At 42.7% G+C, this 19199-nt stretch overlaps 1 protein-coding gene and 1 long non-coding RNA gene across 3 annotated transcripts in view, besides 3 other annotated features; one reads left to right on the forward strand and one right to left on the reverse strand.

Moving 5' to 3' along the window:
- ALK (ALK receptor tyrosine kinase) overlaps positions 1 to 19199 on the reverse strand; it is a 728813-nt gene that overhangs the window by 697094 nt on the left and 12520 nt on the right. The window lies entirely within an intron of this gene.
- On the forward strand, positions 1841 to 2520 carry LOC124907748 (uncharacterized). The gene is made up of 2 exons (XR_007086266.1): positions 1841 to 1919; positions 2412 to 2520. It is a non-coding gene; the product is annotated as an uncharacterized LOC124907748 (long non-coding RNA).
- Positions 5211 to 5760: an enhancer, noted in NCBI's record as "OCT4-NANOG hESC enhancer chr2:30117944-30118493 (GRCh37/hg19 assembly coordinates)". NCBI's record gives its function as "activates a minimal SCP1, AML or CMV promoter by ChIP-STARR-seq in naive H9 embryonic stem cells {active_cell/tissue: H9 hESC(naive)}" and the evidence as "EXISTENCE:reporter gene assay evidence [ECO:0000049][PMID:30033119]".
- Positions 10763 to 11387: an enhancer, noted in NCBI's record as "OCT4-NANOG hESC enhancer chr2:30123496-30124120 (GRCh37/hg19 assembly coordinates)". NCBI's record gives its function as "activates a minimal SCP1, AML or CMV promoter by ChIP-STARR-seq in naive H9 embryonic stem cells {active_cell/tissue: H9 hESC(naive)}" and the evidence as "EXISTENCE:reporter gene assay evidence [ECO:0000049][PMID:30033119]".
- Positions 11388 to 12012: an enhancer, noted in NCBI's record as "OCT4-NANOG hESC enhancer chr2:30124121-30124745 (GRCh37/hg19 assembly coordinates)". NCBI's record gives its function as "activates a minimal SCP1, AML or CMV promoter by ChIP-STARR-seq in primed H9 embryonic stem cells {active_cell/tissue: H9 hESC(primed)}" and the evidence as "EXISTENCE:reporter gene assay evidence [ECO:0000049][PMID:30033119]".

Genomic DNA, 19199 nt, shown 5'->3' on the forward strand with positions numbered 1-19199 from the left:
AAGTTATTGAAGGATAAGAACAACCACCAGCTGTTGCTGGACCCTCTTGTGAAAGCAAGCTGAAAAACCAAGACAGCAAGATGCTTTACAAAGACATTGTAGAGAAATGCTTCAAAACGTGTACATCCAGAGGTTTCCAGTCCCCTAAGCAAGGATTTCCAGGCCATTTGCACTCTCAGCTGAACATAGAGCATCTGCAAGTAGGAGAGAGACAAGCTCTGCTGGGTCTTTAACCAGGCATTTATCTTGACAATTGACTCTATGCCCTCTGCCCCTTAGCACTTTGGTTTTGCTGTTTTATGTCAGTGTGCCTTTTCCCACCTCAAGCAGACCATGTGCCACTAGAATGAAGGGGGCTATGTCTTATGTTTGGTAACCCCTTTTAGTACCATACCTAACCTAAGTATTAGTACTGTTTCAGAATGAAACAGTGGAAGTTTCCAGAGTCAAACAGGCCTGGGCCTGAATCCACCAATGCCTTTGGTAGAAATCTGGATTTCTATGCCCTGAGTTTTCTAAAAGTGAGTCTGAAATTCTCTGTTGTACTCTCTACTACAAAAAGGTTATAGGCGTGATATTCTTTGCCGTGTCCTAGAACCCTCAAAACAAACATTTTAGGGGACAGGATTGCCTTTTCAGGCAGAACCTCTGTTGAGGGAAAATGGCAGTTAGGTTTGTTCCCATTTCCTTCTAAAGAGAACCAACAACATTGTCATCTATTTGAATGATGTTAAACAGTTTACAAAGAATTTTTACGTATATTCTCTCTCCACGGCCCCTCTGAATCTCTGAGCGGGTGGCAGGGTAGCTGCCATCAGTCCTGCTTCACATATACGACTCATCTTAAGCCAGTGACTTAATCAGCTGTGTCCCCCCATCTAAGAACCAAGGTCTCCTGGTAGCTAACCGTTCCCTTGCCTCAATTCTGTGTTATTGGAGACTTGCCTCAGGCCACACAGGCCAGAAGACTTCTCAAGTCTTGGAAGGAAGCCCCCAACTCATAGCTCAGCACACATCTTCTCAAAACATAATAAAAGAGGAACTGAATAGAATGGAAATTTCAGTGAAGAAGACCTAAGTTTGAATCTCACACCTGCTGTTCCTGGCTGTATGACTGGGTAAGTTAACTTCTCTGGAACTCGGTGTTCTCTATCTATAAAAATGGGGATAGTAATATTTTCTTCAAGGGGGTTTTGTGAGGATTAAAAGAGACAACATAAATGAAAGCACATAGCTTGGGGGGAAACCTAATGGATGCTTTATAAGTATTTATCAAATTGGAATAGAGGAAAAAGAGGGGCCTTCCTGCCCTAAAATGTCTTCCTCCATACACCTGTAACATCACAGTATTAGAAAGGCCTTCCTTTGGGGGTAAAGGCTCATCTTCTTCAAGAGTGTTAACAATGATTAGGCATGCACAGTTTAAGGATGTCTTGCAGCAGATTTTTAAAAAGAGGTGAGAGTAGGAGAAACTCCAGGGTACAGGAGACCTAGAGAGGATGCCGGGTGACAATCTCTACTTACAGTAATGTGGGTAACACTATGCATCTTAAATAAGCACAATGTTGACATAACACTTATCTGCATTAGCATGTTTCAGATCAAGCACTTCAGATGCCTTCTCTACACTTGTAAAATCATCATGGTCATAGACCATAGGAACTGCAAATGGCCTTAGAGATCACTCTATCCCATCTCATTTAAAAATGACAAATCTGAGGCCCATAAAGTAGAACATTTTATAGTTCTGGGGAGAACCATAAGAACTATAAGAAAATGCTGAATTCTGATGCTGCCTGGGAAACAAGTGTTAATATTCACATCCAACTGCTTAGAGAGAGAATGACTCACCATCAGTTCACACTTCCCTGGGACCACATGCTACCCAAGCCTAGGAGCTGAAGGGGCTGATAAGGAAGGTCAGTGCCATGTCACAGGTGGAAGCTTAGATGCAGCAGGACTGCAAGGAAGGGCACAGTCTTCCTGACATCCAGCTTCTCTCTGTACAATGCTAGCATCAAGAGAAAGATTCAGCAAAAGCTCATTCTCTGACCACATGTCTTTTGCTTTAGTAAATGGTGGCTTGACTGAGTTCAACCAATCTCTCCCTAACCCAGTCAACCGGCTTTCTATGTACAACCATGGTCCTAACCATGCCCTTTGAGGCACACCCTATTACTCTCTTGCAAATATTCAGTCTTACCTACTACCTGCACCCCCACCATGGAAGGATGTGGTTTCCTGTCCACTGATGTTGGCCTTGGCTTCAAGATTTCCTTTGCTGATTGGAATGTGTGCAGAAGGGGCAATGTGGCAGTTTCAAGAGGCTCTCAGAGCTCTCTTGCACTAGTTTCCTCCAATCTGAGAATATTCAGCTCACATAGGAGATGCCCTTTCATCTTGAATCACAGGATGGGAAGATGCATGGAGCAGATCTGAATCTACTGACAGCCTGAAGAAGAGCAGCAGCCATCCCACTGCACCAACAAGCAACATCAATAATAAAGTTGTTGGAAAGTATCAAGAATTTGAGGTTATTCACGCAGCATAACCAAGTGAAAACTGTCCACTATACTCTTCATCTGTTGGACTGTGATTTCTGAATGAAGGGTAGTTCCACTGTCCCCTCTAATAATTGCTTCTAATCACTTATCTGCACTAAACCCTGTGCTAAGCACTTTACAATCAATCAGCCCATTGGACCCTCACAATGAGCAATTATTAAGGTATTACTGTCCCTGTTCTATAGAGAAAATCTGAAGGCTGAGAGCTGAAGGGATTGGTCACATGATTCGTAAGTGGCAGACCTAAGACTTGACACCATGACCACCCACGCTAGAGCCCAGACTGTCCCCACACTCCAGACTGACTCTACGCACATTAATGCAATGAGAATGCATCTTCTTCCCTGCTCCCACACACATACTTCCCAACTGTGTATAATACTTCTTCCTTTTAAGTAAGCTTGTGGTAGAGGGGGGAGAATGACTTGTGGATACTCAGAATGATCTAAGCACCCACTAGTCCATTTTTTTAAAACATGCTGAATTTTGAGCCTTTCCAAGGTTGACTTGGTCAATTCCATTGTGCCCAGAGCCTGGCCAACCCAGCTTTATAAAGTCCTCCAGCCCATTCCCCATTAGGGCACAGTACTGCCTTGCGCTGGCCATAATGTTTCCCTCCTTGATTTATGGGGCCATCTATTCTGGGCCACTCCTGATGTGCTGTTGTCGCCCCTGCTGCCTGACAGCTTTAGGGATTCTTCTCAGGCCATAATTCTTGAATATTTCCACCCCTCCCCTTCCCTGGCCCTGGGATTTCAGCCACTTTCCATTCAGAAAAAGATTGCTCCATTTATTCTCAGCTTCATGGTCCTTTTTACATTTATCTACTGCTCAGCTGCCTTCCTGATCAGGTATTTAAAGATAAGCCCATCTGCTTCTGATGAGTGACCCTGCTCCTTTTTCTCATTGCTCTGACTTTCTGCCATGCAGCCTCAATATCATTTTATATGTTCACCAGCTCCCAATTCATTCCATTATTCTTTTCTTCTTATCAAATAAGAAAATGGATGTGGAAGGGCCAGGGAAACTATAAAGAGGTGTATAAATATTAGTTCTTTGTGTTATTGTTATTGTTGTTATAACTAACAACCTCCCGAATTTGATTCTAAGTGGCAAAATGTTAACTTTCACTGTGGGGAATGTTCCAGGATTCTTTCTCAGCTTGGCAACCAAACACCAAGGTTTAGGTCCTGTTCAGGTCTGAATTCCCTGGTATACAATCCTGCCTCTAATAAGCAGACTGCAGCACAGGCTTCCAGATGACTCAGTTACGTAGATTACTGTTTCCATAATATCTGTAATAATAGAAATTAGCTTGTTTAAATGAATGGAACTTACTGAATTTCAAGAACAGTGGCTCAAGAAGTTTCTTCTATGGGGAAAAGCATGGAGCTGACAGAGCTGGGTTCAAATCCCAGTTCTGACATTTACAAGCAGAATGACCTTGAGCAAGGTAAACTCTGAACCTCCATTTCCTCATTTAAAGTCTCTTATGGACTGATATGAGGACAAAATTCAGTAGTTCTACAAAAACCCTTAGCAGAGTGCTTGGCACATGACAGTCACCCAATATAAGCATGTAACTGGTGATACGAATGAAGAAATGGAAAACTAGAAGTCACTGCAAATAATTTAAGTGCTCATAAACTTTCAAGTTGAAAGGGGTGTCAAGGACCCAAACCCTTTTCTTATAATAGAAAATGATCAAGAAACCCAGAGAGAACTTGGCTGTCCTCATCTGCAAACTCTGAGGGCAGGGGCCATGTCTGTTTCCTTCACAGTGCCTGGCTCATGGTAGCCCCCAGTGAATATTTGTTGCTGTTGTGGATGGTGGTGTTAAACCCAGGGGAGGCAACATAGCATGGGGGCTAAGGGCAGGTGTTTGGGGATCCAGGAGTCCTGAGCTCCTGCTCCACAACTGAACAGTGAGATACTTGGGCAAGGGACAACCTCTCTAAGCCTCTGTGAAATGGGAAAAGCAATACTATCCCCCACGTGGCATTGCTGGGAGGGCTACATGAGAAATGGAGGTTAAGCCTGACTTTTGCAGGGGAGAAAACATTCAACAAAGTGTTAGCTCTCACAACTACCAATAACCTGGGGAGGGGGAGCAGGGAAAAAAACTATCAATAACTTATCTAAGATAACTTAGTAAATTAGTGGGGACCAGCAAAACCCCAAGCAGAATGACTTCAAGTCCAGGATAATTTCTTCTAGTACAGAAAAATTAAATTTTAAAAATCAGGGTGATATCATTCTATTAATGTTTCATTCTTACTTCTAAAGCACCTTTTTGAATGCAGTATTCTGTGATTCTGGACTCCCTTTTAATTCTCAACTATTTTGCTTTTCTAGGAGGATGACGGGAACATACTAGTATCTGTGAGAATGTGATGCTTCAAACACACACACACACACACAAACACACACACACACACACACACACCCCGACATACTCCTCTTAAATGCACTTGGTGGTCAATATCTCCTATAGAGAGATGTAGCATTTGTTTAACAATCAATGGGAACCATAAAAAGCCCCATGTTTCCATCAGTGGTAAAACCTCCATATGTCAAGTCATGTGCTCCATATGTCAAGTCATGTGCTTCCTTTCTGAAGACTTAATATCAAGGTGTCATCATTATCCATAATGTGTTTTTGAATCAGGTCTTAAAACTTAATGTAGCTTTTATGCCTGGAGATAAGGCAGGATTTGGATTTGGCAAGTTACACACAAGGGCCGCTGGTTGATCCTAATTCTCTAGAATGATGTAAAACCTTAATTAGCTCTGAAAGTTGTTACTTGGGATGACCTCCTCCCCAGCACTCTGCACTGTGGAGGGGTGACAACTTGGGAAGGCAGACCACACTGCAGTGCACTGGGATTCCATTAGAAAGTCTTTTTTCATTCCGAAAGACATTGAGAGTGAACAAAGGTTAAAACACAGAGCTTTTCTTTAAAGGAGAATGGGCAATGAGCTGAAAGTTTAAGACTGAAAGGCTTGGCAGAGAGACAAGAATTGAGGCTGGAAGCAGGAAGCTGCAGCTCCAGGGATCCCTGGTCTGTGGCTGTGAGCCTGGCTATACTATGGTCCAGCACCAGAATGCCTTAACAACACCAATGCCTTCAGAAACCCACAGAAAGGAAACAATGCAGAAAGGAATTCATGGTCTTTTAAATGAGTGTTGCATGATTGGCCATAGTTTATTATTTTATTCCTTCTAGATGATATGTGCCTTTTAGTAGTCCTTCCAGTGGCTTAGTTCAGGAGATCCCTAGCCATCTCAATTCAACAGTTCATTGTGAGCCTCCATCTGCTTAATTACCATCTTATTGGCCAGTTTATCTGCTCTCCTAGGTCATTTCTTTTGGCCGATGTGTTTTTGAAAAGAGGACCACAGGAGTGAGATACTGGCTGTCCAGTATTCTCAGTGGCTTGGGGTGAAGAAAGAGGGTAGGCTACAGGTTATGGGTCTGTGTTTTTCCCTGGTCTTCCCTACATTCCCCACAACCTGTGTTTGATGCCAGAACATTCTGACACAGCTCTCTCCATCCTGAAGTAAGGGAAACTTACTGAATGTGTCCCTAGGATCCATGAACTGTTTCCTGCAATGGGAGAGTAGGTATGGTAGTGTGGGTGCAGGGAGACAAACTGCCACAGAAGCTGCAGGACAAAAAGAGCTCCTACAAGGCAGGGGTCACAAGCTCTTGGGGAGCACAAAGCCCTTGTGTGGAAGCAGGGAGCCGGGCTGCAGAGGAAATGGGTCTTAGAGGAGTTGACATTTGAGTGGAGACTTAAGGTACGAAGAACATTTGCCAAGATGAAGAAGAATACAAAGGGTACCTCCGACCCCCAAGAGGGAATGTCTTGACAAAAGCACAGAGCTGGGAGGGCAGATTTTGTGCTGTTACGGGCTGAGTCACGTTCATTCATCTGTTGAAGCCCTAATCCCCAATGTGACTGCATTTGGAGATCCAGCCTTTAAATAGGTAATTAAGGTTAAATGAGGTCAATAAGGGTGGGGCTCTAATCTAACAGGATTCACATCCTTATAAGAAGAGGAAGAGACAAAGAGAAAAGGCTCTGCAAGGACAAGGAGAGAAGACAGCCACCTGCAAATCAAGGAGAGAGGTCTCAGGAGAAACCCACCTGTGGCACCTTAACCTTGGACTTCTAGCCTCAAGAACTGTGAGAAAATAAATTTCTGCTGCTTAAGCTTCCCATTCTGTAGGATTTTCTGATGGCAGCTCTAGCAAGCTAAGACAAGTGTGGAGCACCTCCACATGATCCCATTGGACAATAAAAGTTCATTGTAAGAAGAATAAAATCTCCATCACGCACCTCCACATGATCCCATTGGACAGTAAAAGTTCATTGTAAGAAGATGCTCAGCTTGGGTTTTTCATTACCTCACACAGGCAGGTTTCTGTATTGTGTAAATACATGGAAATATTGGGAAGAATACACACCAAGCTATTAACACAGGTTACCTCTAGTGAAGGAGAAAGAGCCTAGGTTGATGTTTTGAGCAAAGCAGAGCTTAGATATAGATAGACATAGATGTAAATAGAGATCTACAATCCACCTTTAAAAAGTTAGCAGAGGCCAGGCGCGGTGGCTCATGCCTGTAATCCCAACACTTTGGGAGGCTGAGGTGGGTGGAACACTTGAGGTCAAGAGTTCAAGACCAGCCTGGCCAACATGGTGAAACCCCGTCTCTACTAAAAATACAAAAATTAGCTGGGCATGTTGATAGGTGCCTGTAATCCCAGCTACTCGGAAGGCTGAGGCAGGAGAACCACCTGAGGTTGCAAGTGGTTCTGCAGCTACTCGGAGGCAGAGGTTTCAGTGAGCTGAAATCGTACCACTGTACTCCAGCCTGGACAGAGTGAGACTCCATCTCAAAAAAAAAATTAATTAATAAATAAATAACAATAAAAAGAAGGAAAAAGTAAAGAAAAAGGAGAGTACATTCACATGTCACTTTCATAAATAATACTTCAGTTTAAAAACAATTGTAAAGAGGAAGGGAAGGGTGCATTTGTTCTGTTACCAGGGACATCAGAGTGGGAGGTGGTGGGGTGGGGGCCCCAGGGAGGATTCTCTTGGGAGGCTTTTCAGCAGGATTTCCCTGATGGCTCCTCCCTCCACCAGTCAGCAGTGTGGCACTGTGAGACAGGGTGCTAAAGCCTCAAGACCTCCTCTCTCATTCAGTTACCCTGGGATTTGGTGATTAAATCTCTCCTCCTTCTACCTAGGACTTTTTATAATTGTGTAACTCAATCCTATTCCCTTCAGCCTTCCCTTTCTCTCAAGGAAGAGCCCTTACCCTTCTCAGGCTTTCCTCAAATGTCCATGCCCCTCCTGTACCCTGCCCTTCTCCCTGGGTACGGTGAGAGTCCTTCTTGTGGCCCATGTTATATTTCCTCAGTAGCAGGAGCCAAACAGCCTCCCCCTAGTTCTAGCCCAGTGTGCAGGCTTGTGCTATAGAGAGAGGTGGAAAGGGGAAAGAGAAGATGAAAGAAAAGCAGTCATATCCAAAGGCAAAATTATGAGCTTGAAGTCAGACAGAAGTGAAAATGAAGTTGGAGGATGGAAGGAGTAAAGGCAAGACTAGAAGAAGAGAAAAGGGAAAGGGAAGAATAAAAGAAAGAGGGAGGGTGAAGAGAAAGGACAGCAGGTGACACAGTTCCATGGCCTCAGGGCCTCTCTTTCCTGCCACCTTCCCCAGCCCCAGGCAGCCTAGAGCTGTCCATAGCAGGCCTGTCTGATTTTTTCGGTGAACCCATTCTGAATTCTTCTTCCAAGTTTTAGGTTTGAAAATACGGGGAAAGGCCACATTCCTAAACAAAAATAGAAGAAAGGGTTTGTTTGAAACTGATCAAATGCGATTAAGGGAGAGTACCCAACTCACATCCCTTTGATTAACCTTTATCTGGAGAGAAGTGATTGGTGATTAAGAATTAGATGAGGTGACTAATTATATCAGGAATCTGCCTTCGAAGAAATCTCAGCACCAGAGAAAAAGCTGATAAAAAACAATCATGGCTGTAATGGTGCCTTTTAAGGATAATAATTAACCTGTAATAACAATTTTGGCCTCAACTTAAGCCCTGTAAAATAATCCTTTTTCATTAACTTCAAGTTCAATTAACATCAATAATGAGTGCTCATTTAGAAGTAACCGCCACATCAAGCTCCCTGATGGCTGAGCTCGGGCAGCTCAGCTTCCACTGAAAGACCAGCAGCCCTTGCCACAGGACTGAATGTCCCCAACATGGTAAGCTTTGGGTGTACCCATTACAAAACAAGGAAGAATGTGATGTTCAGAAAGAGAGAAGCTTCAGATGGCACCGAAGTTTACAGTGAGGAAGAAGAGGAGGAACAGAAGAAAAGGGTGGGGAGGAGAGAAGCCACCACCACCACCTCTGGTGGTCTACTAATCTCAGTGTTTGATATCCATCTGTAACTCCAAAAATTAAAGATGATGTGACTACCTGGCAGGCACTTCCTCCTTCCTTCTTGCTCACAGAGCCTCTGCTTTTTTTCAGATTTGGGGCTTCTAGGTACTTCAGGGGCCTGGGAGATGATTGCTGAATAGTTCAAATCAATGCATTTCAATGTGTGGCCCCAGGACCGGCAGGTTTTGTTAGAACTGCAAATTCTCAGGCCCTACCCCCGACCTACTGAATGAGAAACTCTGGGGATGGGGCCCAGCAATGCCTGTGTTAACAAACCCTCCAGTGACTCTGATGTGCACTCGAGCTTGAGACTATGAATTGTGTTCTTTTCTCTAGTGATTGACTTTGGCATCGTGTGAGGCAGCCCCAGCAAATGGGACAAAGAAGGAAATCCAGTGAGGGCCTTCGGGAAAGATTTTTGTTCTCCAAAGACCCTTGCCCCTTTTTTGCCCCCTGCAAGCAGCTGTGTGTGAAGGTGCCAAGGGCTTCTGCAGCCACCCATCACCCTGGGGGCGGCTACTCACCCTGAGGAAGGCAGAGTAGAAAGACAGAGAGCCTGGGCTCTTGAGCTTGTAATGTTGCAGCTGAATTAACCTACCCTGGAGTCACATGTGCTCTCAAGCTCTCACATGAAATACCACACCCCTAGGGCTGGGCACAGTGGATCATGCCTGTAATCCCAGCACTTTGGGAGGCTGAGGCAGGCGGATCACAAGGTCAGGAGATCAAAACCATCCTGGCTAACACGGTGAAACCCCGTCTCTACTAAAAATACAAAAAATTAGTTGGGTATGGTGGCATGCACCTGTAGTCCCAGCTACTCAGGAGGCTGAGGCAGAAGAATTGCTTGAACCCGGGAGGCAAAGGTTGCAGTGAGCTGAGATAACACCACTGCACTCCAGCCTGGGCGACAGAGTGAGACCCCATCTCAAAAAAAAAAAAGAAAAAAAAGAAAGAAAGAGAAAAAAAGAAATACCACACCCTTGATTGTTGAGCTACTCTGAACGGGTCTCTGTTACTTGCAGCCAAATGTATTCTAACTAGAAGGTTCAGGATGCACTTACCATGGGCCAAGCACTGCAGTGGCTGCTTCGTGGGCTTCATCATCATGGGCATCACAGCTGGTCTCGCCTCTTCATTGACCTAAAATCCTCACTATTAGCCACTCTTCTCTGAAAGGCTGACCTGACCTGAGAGCATTTTAAGGGGCTCTGGCCCACGCCAATTTCCCTGTCTTGCCCAGATGAATGGGCTTTGGAAAGCACACACAGATCTATCCTGAGAGTAGGCCAGTTCATGCATTCTTTCATTTATCATTAAATAGATCTCAGGGGAAGAGAAAAGAGAGTAGAGAATCTGCATGGGGTACCACCTGAGCAGTGTCAATGGAGATGGGCCACCTAACAGGGAGCCCTGGACACTCAAGGGTTTTAGACCAGGCAGTGACCATATAGTGGACCAGGGCAGGTTGCCAAGGCTGCATATCAAGCTGTCACTTTGTATACCAGGGAACTCCTTGGCTTCTTAAGCAGGGTCGCTGCCTCCTCTTCTGGCTTCCTCACTCCTTTCTCCTTAGCCCCTATTTCCTAAATAGGCAAAACGTAAGCACACTCATTTTTATTTTAAGGAAATTTCAATTTAGCCACTTCAAAATAATTTTTTCTGGCACCCACTGTGGTGCCTTGCACAGAGTGGGTACTTCACTCAATGTCTATCCGCAGTCAAAATGACAGTCAGAAGCAGTAACCAGCAAACATGGGCCATCTACACGCCCTTGACTGGGCTTCACAGAAAGGCAATGAAACGTGCACAGGACACTGTGAGAGATGAAGGACTTGACGCTCTGCTGCTTCATCACTCTCCTCATCCTTTAACCCCTCCACCTCAAGAGAGAGACATGTAAGAAGAAAGGAGCACATCCCACTATGAGAGGTAGAGAACAAGAGAAAAGAAATCAAGAAGGAGTGAGGGACAAGGGAAGTGAGTGACAGACGAGGAGTAGATAGATATGAGAGCCACTCGATTTTCATCCTACTCCACAGGCTTCCAGAAAATCACAGCTGAATGTCTTAAGAAAGAAAGAAAGAGAGAGAGAGAGAGAGCAAGCAAGCAAGCAAGCAAGCAAGCAAGCAAGCAAGCTTTTCCTCATAGCAGGGGTGAGAAGAAAGCACAGATTTGGAACGAGGAGGGGATCCTCAGGCTTAGAAACCTAAGATCAAATCCCAGTTCAGCCACTTATGAGTCATTTGACCTAGGCAAGTCACTTAACCCCACAGAGCCTCATTTGTGAAACAGAGATAAAACTATCTGTCTCTTGCAGCTGTGAAGATTAGATGAGAATGTCTGTAAAGTGCCTGGCATGTAATAGATGTTCAATAAACTTCAGTGCCACATTTCTCTTCTCTCCAATCCCCCTTCTCATCATTGCCTTATCTGAGGTCATGTCTGATATTCTCTCTGGCAGGTAATTCTTGAGCATGTCTCAGCAAATTGCTTGCAAATTTTTCCCTTTGAAGAGGAGGACAAAGAGGATTAAACTAAAGAAAATTCAGCTTCTGAGTGTTGCACCCGCTGTTTATGCTAACTCAGTTCAAACTACAAAGGCAAGCTTGGTGCCAGGGAAGGAGTCCCAGCTTCAAGCCCACCCACCAGGTCTGAAAACCCTACTTTATCTGATTGCATTATTGGCCAAGCCGCTCATCTCTCATTGAGAATCAGTGCTTTACTTAAGAAAAGCTGCAAATCAAACAACAGGGCTGTCCAGGGAACTGAGAATTTAGCTCCTTAAACATTTCCTCCTATAAATATAAATTGTTGCTTTCCTCTAAAGAAAGCCTCTCTCCCTGTGATCTATGAAGGATTGGAGAGGGGGTCAGGAAGATCGCCGTATCTTCTGGTGAACATTCTCGATCACCTTAATCCCTTCACTGACAGTCTTCTGATCTGAAAGAAATAGTTTATTGTGTTCCTCAGTTTACAAAGAATTAGGGGTAGGGGGTGTGGATCAACAGGAAGAACAGAACACAAAATTCATCAGGGAAGCAGAGGGGAGGGGGAAAGAGAGAATTACTTTGAATACAGTTGCATAATCCATAATTCAGCAAGCTTTTCATTTCTCTTATCTTCCAAAAAGACATGAAATTAAGTTCTAAGCAAAGCACATAATTTATGAGAAGTCTCTGTGCTGATGACTCCCAAATCCCCATGCCCAGCCCTGACTTCTTACATGAGTTCTAGTGCCATGTTTCCAGCTAGCAGGACACAGCTGCTTGGAGTTGGGCTATCATCTCGGCTCCCCAGGTGCAAATTGAACTCAACTCTTCCTCCCCAATGTTTTTTCTTCCCAAATTCTTTTCTATCAAATGACCCATTATTATTCTAATCTTGCTGGCAAAAAGTGCTAGAAAGCTTGAATTTCTCTTTTTCGGCCCCTTGTGCCAAGGCCTGTGAAGTTTTTCTGAAGCCATCCTCTTCTCCATCATCCTGCTGAATCTGCATCTTTCCAAATCTTCCCTCTCCTCCACCCCAGATTCCTGACCCCAGTCCCTACATGCTAATCCAGACCACACACCATTGCCAGTTTCATCTTCCTAAAATGCTATTTACATCAGGCCTTTGATGGCTGCCTGTTTCCTGCTGCAAGAAAGTCAAACACCCTCTGCTTGCTCTCCAAGGTCCTGGCCCCATCCTGCCCATCCAACTGTACTTACCGACATAAAATCTCTTCTCCAAACTGAGAGGGCCCAGTAGAGCATGAGGCTCATTTTAGGCACTACAGGAAGACAAACTGGACTGACCTTGTGCTCCATACTCTGTGGTCCCCACCTGGAATGCTATTCCTCTTTCATCCTGACTATTCCAAACCCTACTCCTCCAAAACCCATCAAGCTTCAGCTCCATCAGGAAGCCTGTACTCACCAATCCTACTCACTGTTCTTTGCCCGAAGACATTTAGCTCTTAAGCTCACACCATCTAGTATTATTTTAAAGTATGTAGTATAATGCTCACAGTGCTTTTGATTTTACAGTGCACTAACCTATGCATATAATCTTATCTGATCCCCTCAACCTGGTGGGGTTGGTATCATCCCTGCACTTAACTAGGACCCAGAGAGTTTAAATGAAGATCATGAAACTAACTGATGATGGTGTCAAGTCTTGAATCCCCAAATGCTGACTCAAAATCCTATATTTTTTGTTTACCTCATTAGACTTTAAGTCTTTAAAGTCAGGGACTACATCTTGTAATTATTGCCTGTTACCCTATAGAACCGTACAAAGTCCTGAACGCATGGAAAGTCTCAGGGACTATTTGTAGAATGAAGAATTGGAATTAAGGAAAAAGTCAGTGAACCATTAAGAATTGGGCAAGTGAATGTATAAACACAAGCTGTATTCACTGGGACATGGGCTATGAAAGATAGAAAGAACTTGCTCAGATAGTCCTTTTAATATACCACATTTATATCCCTCATTCATTCCTTTTTTCTTCCTTCACTGATTCAGCAAATATTTACTGAGCGCCTACTACGTCCCTCATCTGAGACAGATGAGTCAAACACTCCCTTGTCCCTCAGTCCCAACCCTAACATAAACCCTACCCAAATAAGGAAGAGAAAATAGTTTTTATGTATGTATGTAAGTAGGTAGATATTTATTTATCAGTTGGTCTATCAATCAATTGATTGATTGCCTCTGTTCACACAATTGGCTATAATGATTGGAACAGAAAACCATAACAAAGCAGCTCTGGTGAGTTTACTATATATCCAGAAAAGCATCAAAATAATTTGGGTTTTCCTTTGGGGTAGAAAGAAAAATAAATGTTCTTAATCTAGTCATGGTCTTTAAAGCATATTAGAGGTAAGCAGCTCTTATCATAATTTACCAATTACATAAGAATCAGAGAAGGTGATGATTTCTTATTACTGCTTTATGAAATTCTAACGGACCCTGCAACTGTTTATAGAAATAACACCTTCCCAGTCATGCTTCAGCATCAGCCCAGGAAATAGGTTAGAATCATAGGATTTTAATATGAAAAGGACAGAGATTAGAACTCACTTATTTGATATTACAGAAACAAAGACTCAGGAAGTTTAGGTGATTTGCCCAGATTAAAAAAGAATAACTTGGTATATTCTAAAATGAAAACCTAATCTCACAACTCCTGGTCGAGAACTCTCTTCCCTCTTTCCACTGCTTCAACTCACATTACAGTTTTTAAATTTTCCTAGTTAGTTATTGAAATAGGGTTTTTTTCTGCTGTGAAATTAAAAGATCTTACAATGAATATCCTGACTTTGGAAATATTATTTATGATTTAATTAAAATCCTTCAACATGAATAAATAAATAAACAAAAGATTCGCTGGTTCAATATGGAATCCTTAGGCAATGCATAATGGGACAGGATTGGTTTTCTGGTAACTTTCACTCTTAGAGCAAAACAGCTGCTCCAGTGCTCAATATCTAAAGAATTATATTGTGACCCTCATTTATTTAGTTATATTTTCCACAAGATAAACTCTAACTGTGAGAATAGTTAGATCTCAGCAAAAATGAGATAGAAAGGAAGCCACAAAAAATAATGAGGGGAAACCCCTTTATTAATAACAACATCAATAATAATAAAACAGAAGATAATGGATAATATCTTCAGTGCTCTAACCATGTCACAGATGCTACACTAAACTCTTCTTAAAATTTACCTCATTTACTCCTCAAAAGAACCCTATAAAGCAAGTACTATAATTTTACAGATAAGGATGCTAAGACCAGAAAAACTATTTTCATATTAGCTTAAGAATGTCTGGAGCTGGGTGTCAAACCTAGAACTAATTCCAGATTCTGCTTCCTTAACACAATGTAATATCCTCTCCTTTCAGAAGTACAGGGGTTAACGAATGTTCAGAGTTCTTTAAACAAAACAAAACAAGAAACCCACCTTTCTGAGCCTGTTCCTGATGATAATTGAGTGTGAGGTTGAGTAGAGAATTACACTCTGTCTGGGGGATTACACTTCTATCAGGATTTACAGAGCTGAAGCAAGATAATTCTCCCTCCTTCTGTTTTAACAGTAAATGTCTTCAGTAAAATGGGAATAAATGATACACATACACATGCACATATAAAATACTTTGCATCTGATAAAGGAGAGGACATGTGGGTTGTGGGTCCTTCTCCAGATGCCACCACACCACTCAGATATGAAAAATGCAAACACAATTTTGTGCTGCAAAGTAATTTCTTGATGTTATCAAACATTCTCATTACTTATCAAGGGTCATTTACCACTTCTACTCTATTCTGATTTTTCACATTTTCTGTTTTCTGAAATGCAAACACCACTGCTTGTGATGGATCCCTTAAAGTGCTTCTGATTCACATAGGTCAGCATGTTCATGTAAATTAGACTTAAGTCTAAACTATGTTTCTTGCCTAAATATTTAAGCACATAAATAATCTCTGGTTATCCAGGCTGTCATTTTAAGCTATTTGACATTTATTGTTCTGAAGAGAAGAAAGGTCAGATATATCAAATCTGCATTTGTGCTTCATGACATTTTTCTCCAATCAGATTCTTCCAAATTATGGTGTCAAGATTAATACTATGAAAGAAAGAAGGTAAGAGGGAAGGAAGAGAAGGAGGGAAAGGGAAAAGGAAAGGGAAAGGGAAGGGAAGGGGCAAGGAAAGAAGGAAGGAAAGAAGGAAGGGAGGAAGGAAGGAAGGAAGGGAGGGAGAGAGGGAGGGAAGGAGGGAGACAGAGAAGGAATCCCTTTTCCTACCTAGCCAGCCACAGTGAAGCATTCTATTTAGTAAATTTTGTGCTTTCCCCCTTGGCTGCATTTGTCAAGCAGATGTGTGGGTCCAAGGGGGCTGGAGCATGAAGGGAAAGGCAGGATGCGAGGAATGGAAGGGGATGCATGGCTTTGTGATCTGTTTAGCACAACCTTTGCTCATACTTCACAGAACAGATTGAGACCGCTGTCTGGCCCCACTCCTGGGCTCTCTGCCTTTCATCTCTGCATGGCCTTGGATACATTTGTCTTCTCATCTCAGAGAAGGAGGTTGTTTTCCTTCTCTATTGTACCCCTGCCTGCAGTTCTGCCCATGCCTACCGCTAAACTGCAACAACACAGGTTTCCCAGTTCAAGGGCCTCGCTATAGAGGGTCAGATCACAGGAGCAGAATGTTGTCCTCATCTGGGGCCATGCTTTAAGAGGAGAGGGCGTGTGGGGCAGGGGGGAAGAAGCAGGCTCAGTGAGCACTGTGAAACCTGTGGTGAATGAGGAAAAGTGACAAGGGGGCTAGAGACGTTTGTTTCCTTCCCAGCATGTATCATCATTTCTCATTATATATTTATTTGTTCATTTGCACATTTAATATTCTTCCCTCACCATTCTATAAATCCCATGCGGGCAAAGCCCATGTCTGTTTTGTTCATTGCTGTCTGTGCAGCATCTAGTACAGTGTCTAACATACTGAAGCTGCCCAATAATTATTTGTTGAATTAATGATTTTTTAAAGAAAAGGGATAGGAGAGAAAGAGGAGGAGAATGAAAAGAAGGAGGAGACAAAGAAAAATATATAGGATATGTGGGATAACTGACTTCAAATGTTTGAAGGACCCTCATGTTGGGGAGAAGTTAATACTTGTCAGCCAAACTACAGTCACAAGTAAAAGACATAAGACAGAGAGATCATAGATGTGGAGTTAAACAGGCTGAAATTCAAATACCAGATCCTTCACTTACTGGCTGTGCAACCTGGATCGTGTTATCTGACCTCTCTGAGCATCAGTTTCTTTATTTGCAAAAACGAAAAGAGTACTAAAATCATAAAACTACCACATTATAGTGAGGACTAAATAAAGCAGTCTATGTCAAACTGTTCAATGGTAGCTGTTATCATTAAATTACAGAGGAATAGAATTTGACCACTATTAAATATTTTCCCAACAGACTTGTCCAACAGGTAACAGGGAAGCCTTGGAAAATAGTGATCCCCACATCCCCAGAAATATACATATACATTTAAGGTTTTTTTTTTTTTTTTTTTTTTTTTTTTTTGAGACAGAATCTTGCTCTGTCGCCCATGCTGGAGTGCAGTGGCGCAATCTCAGCTCACTGCAAGCTCCGCCTCCCAGGTTCACGCCATTCTCCTGCCTCAGCCTCCCGAGTAGCAGAAATATTTTTTTAAATAAGATTGAATGAACTCTATTTTAAGAGGAAACTCCAGAAGCAGACAGGGCCCTAGATATAACGGCATCTAAGTCCTGTATAAGAGTCTGCACCTAGATTGAATGGTTTTGCTATACAATTATCCTCTCTCTTTCAGATACCTGAAATCTTTTCTCTTTAGCTTTTTCCCTCCTGATTTTCAACATTAAGAGGTTTGCTATCATAAAACATGTTTCCTCCATGCTGCTGAACCCTCTGACATCACTGATATTTCATTCTCTTTCTCTTCTTTCTTTCAAAGACTTCTTAAATGACTACTTAAACACGTTTTGCTTCTATTTCTTCAGCACTCTCTCTAAACTTCCTTCTGCCTGTTCCTGCTCTGTACAAGACACTCCGTGAATTGCTCTTGGTCCAACACAATGGTCTCTCCACTCCATCTGCCTTGCTGAGCTTCTATAACACCACATGATCCACAGAGGCCTCTGTTCCTTCTTGTAAGAAAATTCTTTCTGGTGATGTCATTGACTCCATTCTACTGTCTAATTATGAACTTTCCTAAATCTAAGCTGTGACCTTCCTTCTTTCCTCTCTCTACGTCCTCTGGAAAACTCATCTCTTTTTTTCAAGGATTAAATTACCACGTGCATGTAAATAGCTCCCACATCGATATCTTCAGCCTTGACCTCTTCCCCATTCCTGCTTCAGGCCCATGCTTTCATGTGCATCCCAGATACCCTCATCTTTGGATGGATGCCACACTAGAATTATTGTCATGCCAACCACTTGCCCCTCAAACCAGATCCTCTTCCCAACTGTCTTCTTTATCAGTAAACCATAAGTCTTCAAGGTTCCAAAACCTTAGACTTTTGACTCCTTCTCATTTGTTCCTCTTATATCTGGGCATCTATTGGCCCAGCTCTGACTCTTTCATTGCTTATTTGGTGTAATAGCTTCACGGGGCTCCAACACTAGCCCTCTCTACATCCAGGCCTGAGACCCACACTAAAATACATTTCCTGAATAATCTGCAGTCAACACGCAGTCAAAATGCATCTCCCCTACTCAAGACCTAAATAGGTTCAGATTTCTCTAGCATCAAATCAAAATTCCAGACACAAAAAGCCAGGCTAACCTCTAGTTCAGAATATCTGACCTAGCACCTTAGAGCTCTCTGCTCTGGCTGGTTCTACTCTCCAGAGCACACACACACACACACACACACACACACATTGTCTATCTGCCTTTCTGTCTCTCTGTCTCTCCTTTCTCTTCTCTTTCCTCTCTCCCTTTCTCTAGCCAATTGTTCTTCATCTGGGCATTATTTTGGCTCTTGCCCCAACTCAGAAGATCCTTTGTCCTTCTCTTTTGAAGTAAAAAGCTGCACTCTCTCCAAGACCCTATTCTCAAATTACCTCCTTCTGGAAGTGTTTTTATTTTTTACTCACTTCTATCTCAGTCTCAAAAGGAAACCATCATTCTCAGCAGATATCCTTTGACCTGACTCCCTGCCAAAAGGCAATAAGCTTATTGTTTCTAAAATTCCAGAGCTATAGTTTCCTGTCTCAGAGAAACTTTACCTCTCCCATAATGCACTGAAAACTACTGCTCATCTGCCTTTAAGGGAATGCTTTTGAGATTTGGAGGTACAGCATGAAACTCTCCTTAATCACCCCAGCAGGAATTGACCTCTCCAACCCTCTATCCAACTACTATAACCAGCTGCACCATTTGTTTAGCATTCAAGTGCTGCCTTTTATTGGAGTTATTTATTAGCATACTTTGTCTGCCTTTTCTCCTCCAACTAGTTTGTGAACTCCTGGGAGGAAGAGACTGTACTTCATTCAACTTGGCAAGTGCTCAATTTAAAAGAAAAAAAAACTAAACCAATAAATAAGCATTTCCTCAGGCAAAAATTCAAACTTATAGATCTCCATTAAAAGGATTCCCTTGTCTAATTTCTCTTTGGTGCGCACCTCCCATGGAGA

The sequence above is a fragment of the Homo sapiens genome, chromosome 2, assembly GCF_000001405.40.
Source record: "Homo sapiens chromosome 2, GRCh38.p14 Primary Assembly".
Lineage (NCBI taxonomy): Eukaryota > Metazoa > Chordata > Mammalia > Primates > Hominidae > Homo > Homo sapiens.